This window comes from Homo sapiens, chromosome 20 (assembly GCF_000001405.40).
Source record: "Homo sapiens chromosome 20, GRCh38.p14 Primary Assembly".
In the NCBI taxonomy this organism is placed as follows: domain Eukaryota; kingdom Metazoa; phylum Chordata; class Mammalia; order Primates; family Hominidae; genus Homo; species Homo sapiens.
Window position 1 is genome coordinate 5,033,089 of NC_000020.11, and position 12,150 is coordinate 5,045,238.

At 46.2% G+C, this 12,150-nt stretch overlaps 1 annotated feature.

The window, feature by feature from the left end:
* Positions 1-158: a silencer, noted in NCBI's record as "fragment chr20:5013735-5013892 (GRCh37/hg19 assembly coordinates)". NCBI's record gives its function as "represses an EF-1alpha promoter that drives an FKBP-Casp9 reporter gene in an ReSE screen in K562 erythroleukemia cells {active_cell/tissue: K562}" and the evidence as "EXISTENCE:reporter gene assay evidence [ECO:0000049][PMID:32094911]".

Consider the following 12,150-nt stretch of genomic DNA (forward strand, 5'->3'; position numbering starts at 1 on the left):
TATCTATTTTTTTTTTTTTTTTGAGATGGAATTTCGCTCTTGTTGCCCAGGCTGGAGTGCAATGGCACGATCTTGGCTCACTGCAACCTCCACCTCCCAGGTTCAAGCGATTCTCCTGCCTCAGCCTCCCAAATAGCTGGGATTACAGGCACGTACCACCACACCTGGCTGACCCTATCTCTTAAAAACAACAACAGCAACATCATCAACAACAATACCCAGATTCCGATTCAGTAGATCTCGGTGGGGCATGAGATTCCGCATTTCTCACAAGTTTCCAGGTGATGCTGGTGTTGCTGGTCTACAGACCACACCTTGAGGAGCAGGGACAAGCCAGTCTCCTTCCTCCCCCATCGATTTTGCACATCACTGGGGATTTATTTTTCTAGTACATTATGTTTCTAGAATTCCAGTGGTTGTTGAATATCCATGGCAGTTACTGTTTACTGTTTGTTTTTTTTTTAAAGCACAGGATCTTTCGGCTTCCCAAACAGTGTTACTGCTCAGATCCCTGTGCACAGTGTACAAGTCAGATCTAATAGGTGCTAACTGAAGTCAAAGAGAAGGCCCTGGAAAATATCACTCTGAAATCCACCTCCCCACTCCCTGATCCCCAGGTCCCTGTGTCCAAACCACAGGAATTTGAAACTGTGGAACTCAGCTAAAAATCAGAGATCTTATTCTGGTATTCCAAGGACTTAGGAGTTAAGTAACTTGCCCAAGATTACACAGCTGCAAAACCCCGGATCTCCCAAACCCTTTGCATTTTTGTCCTAAGGCCACAGTCACAGCATTTCCTACCAAAGCCCAGCCCAGATCCACCCACTTTCTGATTTTTCTTGCCTTATTCACACCTGAGAATAAACACCTCTCTGCCAGTTAAAACTGTATTTTCAAACAGGGTTAGGCTCTGTGGCTCACACCTGCAACCCCAGCACTTTTGGAGGCTGAAAGAGTTCAAGACCGGCTTGGGCAACAAATCAAGACCCCTGTCTCTTAAAAAATAAAAAAATTGGGCCGAGCGCAGTCGTTCACGCCTGTAATCCCAACACGTTGGGAGGCCGAGGCGCGTGGATCACCTGAGATCAGGAGTTTGAGACCAGCCTGGTCAACGTGGAGACACCCCATCTCCACTAAAAATACAAAAATTAGCCAGGCATGGTGGCACATACCTGTAATCCCAGCTACTCGGGAGGCTGAGGCAGGAGAATCACTTGAGCCTGGAAGGTGGAGGCTACAATGAGCTGAGATCACACCACTGCACTCCAGCCTGGGTGATAGAGTGAGACTTTGTCTCAAAAAAGAAAAAGAAAAAGAAAAATAATTAGCTGAACACGGTGGTGTGTGTCTGTAGTCCCAGCTATTCAGGAGGCTGAGGCAGGAGGCTGTAGTAAGCTATGATCATGCCACTGCACTCCTGCCTGGGTGACAGAGAAAGACTCTGTCTCAAAATAAATAAACAAAAAACAAACAAAACAGGGTTTATAAGTAGTAAGAAAAGGCAGTTGGTGTCTTTTCCCCCTCTTCTGTCCTCCAGTTGTCTCCAAAATGGTGCATTTATCTTAGACAAGGTGACAGGTGGGGGGCAGGGAACGGAGGGGTGGCACAAAATGGTGCATTTGGTAAAACACTGAAGACAAGCTTACTCCAGGATAAAACTGGCAAAAGGTTGAAGACCAGGTTACTCCAAGATAAAGTTCTACCTCCTTCACCGCCTGGTCTCCAGGTCTGCATCTCCTGGTCACAGTCTCTGCAAGGTAAGCTTTTACCTTATCTCTCTGCCTGTTCCAGGGAAGCCTCCTTCCTGCCAAGTTGGTGTTCACCTTCACCTGAATTCACCCTTGTTTTCCTGCCTACCATGGGGCCATGGGGGCCCTTGTTCACTCCATCTCCTATATGCTGAGAATGCCCTTGTTTAATGAGGCTTTTTTTTTTTTTTGAGACAGGGTCTCACTCTGTTGCCCAGGCTGGAGTGCAGTGGCACTATCTTGGCTTACTGCAAACTCTGCCTCCCAGGCTCAAGTGATTCTCCTGCCTCAGCCTCCTGAGTACCTGGGATTACAGGTGTGTGCCACCACACCCAGCTAATTTTTGTATTTTTGGTGGAGATGGGGTTTTACCATGTTGGCCAGGCTGGTCTGGAACTCCTGACCTCAGGTGGTCCACCTGCCTCAGCCTCCCAAAGTGCTGGGATTGCAGGTGTGAGCCACCTTGCCCAGCTAGTTTAAAATTTTTATTTTATTTAGAGATAGGATCTTACTCTGTTGCCCAGGCTGGAGTGCAGTGGCATAATCATAGCTCACTGTAACCTTGAACTCCTGGGTTCAAGCAATCCTCCCATGTCAGCCTCCCCAGCAGGCAGGACTATGGCATGCAGCACCATACCTGGCTAATTTTTGTATTTTTGCAGAATCAGGGGTCTCACTATATGTCCAGGCTAGTCTTGAACTCCTGGCCTCAAGTGATTCTCCTGCCTTAGCCTGTCAGGGATCTGGGATTACAGGCATGAGCCATGCCCGGCCATATTTAATGGGTTTTGTTCTGTTTTTTTAAGATGGGATCTTGCTCTGTTACCCAGACTGGAGCACAGTGGTGAGATCATGGCTCACTGCAGCCTTGACCTCCTGGGCTCAAGCAGTCCTCCTGCCTCAGCCTCCCAAGTAGCTAGGACCACAGGCATGCACCATCACTTCCAGATTTTTTTTTACTTTTCTAAGAGATGGTGGGGGCAGGGAGTGGGGAGGTCTCTCCATGTTGCCCAGACTGGTCTCAAACTTCTGGCCTTAAGTGATCCTCCTGCCTCAGCTTCCCAAAGTGTTGGAATTACAGTCTAAGCTACTGTACCCAGCCAAGATATTTAAAGTGACAAAGAGATTTTTTTTGTTGTTGTTGTTTTTGTTTTTTGTTTTTTTTATTGAGACAGAGTCTCACTCTGTTGCCAGGCTGGAGTGCAGTGGTGTGATCTCAGCTCACTCACTGCAACCTCCGATTTCTGGGTTCAAGCGATTCTCCTGCCTCAGCCTCCCGAGTAGCTGGGATTACAGGCACACACCACCACACCCGGATAATTTTTGTATTTTTATTAGAGACAGGGTTTCACCATGTTGGCCAGGATGGTCTTGATCTGACCTCATGATCCACCTGCCTCAGCCTCCCAAGATGCTGGGATTACAGGCGTGAGTCACCGTGCCCGACGATAGTCTTTAATGGATGTAAGTGGGGGTATTTTGGAAATTAACAGCTCTTTTCCCATGTCTTTTTGAGGTTGTGGCTCATCAGAGACAAAAAAAAGCATCTTTTTTTAGGTTTGTTTTTTTTTTTTTTTGCCACCTGTCCTTGTTGGTCCAATCCCTACAAGAGAAGGGAAATGAGGAACTCTTCTTAAGCTTTGGACTCTGTATGGTAGACTTTACATGTGAAAAATTAGATAAAGTGAACAATTACATGGAAAAATATCATTACCAAAATTGTTCAAGAAGAAACATAGTAGGCCGGCTGTGGTGGCTCACACCTGTAATCTCAGCACTGGGAGGCTGAGGTGGGTGGATCACCTGAGGTCGGGAGTTCGAGAACAGCCTGGCCAACATGGTCAAACCCGTCTCTACTAAAAATACAAAAATTAGCTGGACATGGTGGCAGGCGCCTATAATCCCAGCTACTCAGGAGGCTGAGGCACGAGAATCGCTTGAACCCGGGAGACAGAGGAATAGAATAGACTTACATATAAGTAAAATTGAATCTGAATAAAAAATTCTAGTGAGAAAGAAAATTATAACCACAAAACACTTCACCAAGCCCAGATGTCCTCACAGGCAACTTTTATAACTTTAAGGAACAGAAAACCTCCATCTTACCCAAACTAAGAAACAAAATTCAACAACCCATGTGAATCTAGTCACTAGCTACTGTAAGGGAAATCTCACACCTAGCCAAAAACATTAAAAAAAAAAAAGTAAGAAAAGGAAACCAATAGTTCAGTTTCACCTACATAGATGCAAAAATTATGAATAAAACATTAGCTAGCCAAATACAACTATGTGTAAAACAAACATTACCAATCAGTATTTATCCCAGGAAGGCAAGGACGTTATTTTACCATTAGAAAGTAGCAACATAGTGTAATCCCAGCTATTCGGGAGGCTGAGGCAGAGAATTGCTTAAACTCTGGAGGAGGAGGTTGCAGCAGTGAGCTGAGATCGCACCACTGCACCCCAGCCTGGACAACAGAGTGAGAGTACGTCTCAAAAATAAAATAAAATAAAATAAAGTAAGTAGCAATACAGCTGGGCTTGGTGCTTTGGGCCTGTAATCCCAGCTACTCCGGAGGCTGAGGCAGGAGAATCTCTTGAACCCAGGAGGCGGAGGTTGCAGTGAGCCAAGATCACCTCACTGAGCTGTCTAGCCTGGGTGACAGAGTGAGGTTCCGTCTCAAAAAAAAGAAAAAAAAAAAAAATAGAAGCCGGGCAGGGTGGCTCATACCTGTAATCCCAGCACTTTGGGAGGCTGAGGTGGTCAGATCACCTGAGGTCACAGGTTTGAGACCAGCCTGACCAACATGTGAAACCTGATCTCTACTAAAAATACAAAATTAGTCGGGCGTGGTGGCACATGCCTGTAATCTCAGCTATTTGGGAGGCTGAGGCAGGAGAATTGCTTCAACCTGGGAGGTGGAGGTTGCGGTGAGCCGAGATCGCGCCACCGCACTGCAGCCTGGGCAACAAGAGGGAAACTCCGTCTCAAAAAAAAAAAAAAAAAAAGCAAAATAAACGCACTGCAGCCTGGGCAACAAGAGGGAAACTCCGTCTCAAAAAAAAAAAAAGAAAAATAAAAAAATAAATAAAATGTAAATCCTTTTGTACATTTTCATGGAAAACCATAAATAATATGAGAAGAAAAGCTACAAATTAAGAGATATTTGTAATGTATATAACTGAGAAAGAATTGATATCCAAAACTTTTCTTTTATTATTATTATTATTATTTTTCAAAATATTTTTAAAACCTACAAATAGGCCCAGCGTGGTGGCTCACACCTGTAATCCCAGCACTTTGGGAGGCGGAGGCAGGCAGATCACTTGAGGTCAGGAATTCCAGACCAGCCTGGCCAATATGGTGAAACACCATCTCTACTAAAAATACAAAAATTAGCAGGGCGTGATGATGGGCACCTGTAGTCCCAGCTACTTGGGAAGCTGAGGCAGGAGAATCGCTTGAACCCAGGAGGCAGAGGTTGCAGTGAGCTGAGATCATGCCACTGCACTCCAGCCTGGGCAACAGAGACTCCGTCTTAAAAAAAAAAAAAAAAAAACCCCAGAACCCCCCCCATAAAAAAAAAAAAAACCACTACAAATAATGAGAAAAGGACAAACCATCCAAAAGGAAAATGAACAAAGGAATGATTTCTATGACCAATAAACATATGAAACATATAAACAGACAAAAAGAAACTCGATCTCTGCAGTAATTAGGGAAATGTATATTAAAACACAAAGATACCATCTTACATCCTTCAGATCGGCAAATATTAGCAAGCCTGCCTATTTAATCAAAAATGCATTAGGCAGCTGGGCACGGTGGCTCATGCCCATAATCCCAGCACTTTGGGATACCAAGGTGGGAGGGGAGGACTACTTGAGCTCAGAAGTTTGAGATCAGCCTGGACAACATATTAAAACCTTGTCTCTACTAGAAATAATTTTTTTTTTTTTGAGACGGAGCCTCTCTCTCTCCCAGGCTGGGGTGCAGTGGCACGATCTCAGCTCACTACAACCTTAGCCTCCTGGGTTCAAGCGATTCTCCTGCCTCAGCCTCCCAGGTAGCTGAGATTACAGGCGTGCGCTGCCATGCCTGGCCAATTTTTTTGTATTTTAATAGAGAGGGTTTCACTGTGTTTCCCAGGCTGGTCTCTAACTCCTGAGCTCAGGCACGCCACACGCCTCGGCCTCCCAAAGTGCTGGGATTATAGGCGTAAGCCACCGCACTGGGCAGAAATAAAAATTTTTAAAAATTAGCCGGGTGTGATGGTGGGCACCTACAGTCCCAGGTATTCAGGAGGCTGAGGCAGGAGGATTGCTTGAGCCTGGGAGATCAAGGCTGTACTGAGCCGAGATCACACCCCTGCACTCCAGCCTGGGCAACAAAGTGAGACCCTGTCTCCAAAAAAAAAAAAAAAAAAAAAAAAGAAAGAAAAGAAATGCATTAGGCTACAAGCAGTAGAAGATCTAACTAAATGACTCAGACAAATAGGAAGTTCTTTTTCTCACATAACAAGTCTGTGGCCAGGCGCCGTCGTGTGAGCTTGTGGTCCCAGCTACTGAGGAGGTGGGTGGGAGAATCACCTAAACTCGGGAAGGTTTTAGCTGCAGTGAGCTGTGATCGTGCCACTGCACTCCAGCCTGGGCAACAGAGTGAGACCCTATCTCAAACACACAAACAAACAAGAATTCTGGAGGTAAGTGACGTGAGCATCGGTTCAATTGCTCAGCCACACGTTGTTGAGGTAGCTGATGTGCTCCCTGACATCTCACCCATTTTAAAGCCATAATCAGAGAAGAGCAAGACTAAGGCATCAGCATGCTTTGTCAGAAAAGCAAAAGCTTTAAATGGCTTCCAGCCAACTTTTGCTATACAAAATACTTCAAACATCCAGAAAAGAACCGAAAATGATATAACTCCCACATGTGTACCTATGATCGATTCTGAACAAACACTGATGTTTTGCCAATTGTGCTTCTATTTTTTTTCCTTAATAAAACACGAGAGACACAGTGTCCAGGATTGCATTATGTGGCCACCCCAGATGAAGGGGAGATGAGAATGTGAGTGTTCCGTTTTCTAATATGTATAATACAGGTAGGCTGGGCAGAAAGAGTTAGACAGGTATTGGGTTAGCCAGCCTACAGTGTCTAACACACCAACAAAATCAAGCATTGGAGAGCATTTGGATATGGAAGAGTGCTGAGAAGGTGTGGTGGCTCATGCCTATAATCCTAGTACTTTGGGAGGCTGAGGCAGGAGGATCACTTAAGTCCAGGAGTTTGAGAGCAGCCTGGGCAACAAAGTGAGACCTTGTCTCTACAAAAAATAAACAAAATTAGCTGGTGGTGGCACCTGCCTGTTGTCCCAGCTACTCAGGGGGCTGAGGTGGGAGGATGGCTTGAGCCTGGGAGATTGAAGCTTCAGTTAGCCATGATCATGCCACTGCGCTCCAGCCTGGGTGACAGAGAGAGATCCTGCCTCAAAAAAAAAATAAAAATAAAAAAGAGGGGCCGGGTGTGGTGGCTCAGGCCTGTAATCTTAGCACTCTTTGGGAGGCTGAGACTGGAGGATCCTTTGAGCCCAGGGGTTTGAGACCAGCCTGGGCAACATAGGGAGAACTTGTCTCTATTTAAAAAAAAAAATGCTCATACGTGGTTGGCAGGAGTGTAAATAGCCTCAACCAATTTGGAAAGCAATTTGCCAATACTAGTTAATATAACGATCTAGATAGTGGGCAACCCGGATTAGCCTTTTCCAGATATTTGCAGCTGGGAAGCTCTCATACATGTTCACAGAGATACCTGCAAATGTTCATTTCAGCTTTTTTTTTTTCAATGGCAAAAAACTGGAAATAGCCTATTTGTCCCTCAATAAGAGAACTAATAAATACATCTCACAATATACAATCAAAGGAATACTATGCAGCTATTAAAATGAGTGAACTTATCAACATGCATAAACCTTTAAGACATAATGCTGGTTAAAGAGGCAAGTTGCAGAAAGGTACATAAGGTATGGGACTATTTATGTAAAATCAAATGCACACAGAGTGACACTGTCTTTATTGATTCTTGCATTTGTAATAAAGGTGCAAACTGGGGAAGAAACACACTAACATCATAGCAGCAGCAATCTCCAGGGAAGGAAAGAGACCTGTGAGGAAAGGTGACGATGAGAGGAAGAAACTATACCTCTAATGTTGCATTAAGGAAAGAAAGGCTAGGCCCAGTGGCTTCCGCCTGTAATCCCAGCACTTTGGGAGGCCAAGGTGGGTGGATCACTTGAGGCCAGGAGTTCATGACCAGCCTGGCCAACATGGTGAAACCCCATCTGTACTAAAAATACAAACAATTTGCCGGGCATGATGGACATACCTGTGGTCCCAGCTACTCGGGAGGCTGAGGCATGAGAATCTCTTGAACCTGGGAGGCGGAGGTTGCAGTGAGCTGAGATTGCACCACTGCCCTCCAGCCTGGGTGACAGAGTGAGACTCTGCCTCTAAAGGAAGGAGAGAAGAAAATAGATCTGAAGCAAATTTATCAAAATGCTAACTTTTGCTGTATCTGTGTTGTAGGTTCCTAAGCATTTGCCATAATGTTCTCATTATTTCTTTGGCTATTTATAATACTTCATAAATTAAAAATAAAGGAAGGAGATGTGGTATTTTTTCTGAAGCAGCACTTCTCAAACTTTCATGTACAATGTATCCCCTGGGGATCTTGTTAAAATGCAGTTGCTGAGTCAGTGGCCTGGGATGGGGCCGGAGAATCTACACGCCTCACAAGCTCCTGTGTTGGGATGAAGCTGGTTCCAGGGCCCCACTTAAAGAAGCAGCCTTCCAGAGAACTCTGCCCCAGGGCTCCTGAGATGGAAGTGAAGGCCCCAGCCCAGAGGACCCTGCGTGAAGGTTCAGTGTTGGAGCCTGCAGATGCTGACAGTGCCTGCAGCTTTCCTGCCTATTTTAGGACTTGCTAGAAGCTTGGCATGTCCTAAAAACCCTTTTTCAAGAGTCTCTCCCCAGCTGCTGCTAGCGGGATTTTTTTTTTAACTCTCTATCCTATTTAACCTCCTCACTGATGACCTTTTAATGCGTAACTTTTTTTTTTTTTTTTTTTTTTGAGACGGAGTCTCGCTCTCCCAGGCTGGAGTGCAGTGGTGTGATCTCGGCTCACTGCAACCTGTGCCTCCCAGGTTCAAGCGATCTCCTGCCTCAGCCTCCCCAGTACCTAGGATTACAGGTGCGCGCCTCCAGCATAGCTAATGTTTGTATTTTTAGTAGAGACGGGGTTTCACCATGTTGGCCAGGCTGGTTATGCATAACTTTTTATCACAGATGTTTGATCTCAGTTTTAATCTTTTCAACATTTGTAAACCCTTGGTTCATTGTGCTTCTCCCTTTATTACTCTTTTTTTTTTTTTTTTTTTTTTTTTTTTGAGACGGAGTTTCGCTCTTGTTGCCCAGGCTGGAGTGCAGTGGCGCACTCTCGGTTCACTGCAATCTCCACCTCATAGGTTCAAGCGATTCTCCTGCCTCAGCCTCCTGAGTAGCTGGGATTACAGGCACACGCCACCATGCCTGGCTAATTTTTCTTTTTCTTTTTTGTATTTTTAGTAGAGATGGGGTTTCACTATGTTGGCCAGACTGGTCTTGAACTCCTGACCTCGTGATCTGCCCACCTCAGACTCCCAAAGTGCTGGGATTACAGGTGTGAGCCACCGTGCCTGGCCTAATTTTGTATTTTTAGTAGAGACGGGGTTTCTCCATGTTGGTCAGGCTGGTCTCGAACTCCTGACCTCAGGTGATCTGCTCGTCTTGGCCTCCCAAAGTGTTGGGATTATAGGCATAAGCCACCACAACCGACCTGACTGCTCATTTTTAAACTCTTGATCTGACACTGGGGGACTTTAAGCTATAATCTTGTTCTGTTTTTTTTCTTTTTCTCTTGCCTTCTATGCTTTCCATTTTATTGCTTTATTTATTTATTGAGACAGGGTCTCACTCTGGAGTGCTGGAGTATGGTGGCATGATCAGGGCTCACTGCAGCCCTGACCTCCAGGGCTCAGGGGATCCTCCCACCTCACCCTCCCAAGTAGCTGGTACTACAGGCACATACCACCATGCCCAGCTAATTTTCTAATTTTCTGTAGAGATGAGGTCTCACTGCATTGCCCAGGCTGGTCTCGAACTCCTGAGCTCAAGTGATCCTCCTGCCTTGGCCTCCCAAAGTGCTGGGATTACAGGCATGAGCCACAGCACCCAGCTTCCCTTTTTCTCTCAGGACTTATTTTCACATTGGCTGGGGTGTGGGTGGGCCGCCGCCATTTTATATTCCCAGCTTCCTTCTGGCTCCCCAGGAATCCTCAGCTGGGGTGAGGATGACACTGAACGAATCTCACATTCCCCAGGAGACTGGGAAAAACAACTGCTTCAGTTCTCTGTCGGATCACAGGCTCTAGCTTGCATATTCGATTTGCTGGGGCAGTGTTGATGTCTCCTACCCTGCAGGCCCATGTAAGAAGATGCATGTCATGAATTCCATGCACTCTTTGGATTGGGAGGCAACAAACACTGATGAGAATCAGGAGGGGCTGAAGAGGAGCCAGGGGATCTAGGGTCACCCAGACATCTCTGGGAGGCAGTTCACTCAGGGTATGGTGGTCATATCTGGGCTGCTCCATGGAGGCACTGGCATCAGGAGCTTAAAACAGACTCCTGTGTTCCCTTTTGTGCTCATCAGCAATGTCCTTGGTGCCTGGACCGGTTTAGTAGAGAAGGAGATGTTCCTGCTTTTATTTCTATTTTTTTTTAAACAAGTTTTCGCTCTGTTGTCCAGGCTGGAATGCCGTGACAAAGCCACGGCTCACTGCACCCTTGACCTCCTGGGCTCAAGCGATCCTCCCACCTCAGCCTCCTGAGTAGCTAGGACTACAGGCGCACTCTGCCACACCTGGCTAATTAAAAACAGTTATTTTGTAGAGATAGAGTCTTGCTATGTTGCCCAGGCTGGTCTTGAACTCCTGGGCTCAAGTGATATTCCTGCCTCGGTCTCTCACAGTGCTGGGGTTACAGGCATGAGCCACCATGGCCAGCTACTCCTGCCCTTTAGGTTTTGGCTCATTTCTCTTCCCCAGGGGAAACTGGGGCAGGATCATGGCAGGGCCTGGCATGCAACCCTTGCTGGCACAGCACTGTGGTAAGGGGCATGGGCTCTGAAGTTCAAGTGGAGAGAATACCCCTTATGAACTGGGTGTCCTTGGCCAGCACTTAACCTCTTTGTGCCTCAATGGCCCTCTATGAAGGATAACAGTAGACCTGTCTTGTAAGGTTATTGTGAAGTAAAACTTGTAGAATGGAGCTTGGCACAGAGTAAGCTTCAATCAATGTCAGCTCTTCATTACCCAACCTTGGCGCTGCATGACGAACACCTGTGGATGGTTAAAAACTGCACTGCAGGTTACTTCCCTCAGAGCCTCTGGGGTGGGACCCAGGCTTCCGTATTTTTTTTTAAGCCCCTTAGGTAATTTCATTGTGTGCACAGGGCTGAAAACTGCCTGAGGCTGCAGTCTCTCAAGTGCTAGTTCACACAGATATTTATTTATTTATTTTTTGAGACAGAGTTGCGCTCTTGTCATCCAGGCTGAAGTGCAATGGCGCAATTTTGGCTCACTGCAGTCTCCGCCTCCCAGGTTCAAGAGATTCTTCTTCCACAGCCTGCCGAATAGCTGGGATTACAGGTACGCGCCACCATGCCGGGCTAACTTTGTATTTTTAGTAGAGACGGGGTTTCACCATGTTTCACCATGTTGTCCAGGTTGCTCTCAAAATCCCGACCTCAGGTGATCCACCTACTTTGGCCTCCCAAAGTGCTGGGATTACAGGCATGAGCCACCATGCCCGGCCACACACAGATAAATTTAAACGTTCCCTACAGGTCTTTGTTGGGTCCTTTTGGAAGCAACTCCTGCCCCCGTGCCCCACAAAGGAGCATTTTCTTGTATGTGTCAGAATCATTTCTCTTTTCCCCTACCCCACTGCAAACCCCACCCAAGTTCAGAAGAAAAATACCTTCAAGAACTCTGACCAGATAGAGGAAAAGTGCATTGACTCAATCTACCTCCTTCCTCACTCCCTTCTTGGAGGAGGCCCCTTCCCAAAAGACCTTCCTGGAAAAATCTTCCTTTGGTGTCTCCAAGGAACTATGCTCTCCAGGGCACGCAACAACAGAGTAAGAATTCATCTACCACTAAAGACTGAATATAGTATGCAGTATAAAACTATTTAAAAGGGCCAGACGCGGTGGCTCATGCCTGTAATCCCAGCACTTTGGGAGGCCGAGGCGGGTGGATCACGAGGTTAGGGGTTCAAGACAAGCCTGGCCAAGATGGCAAAAC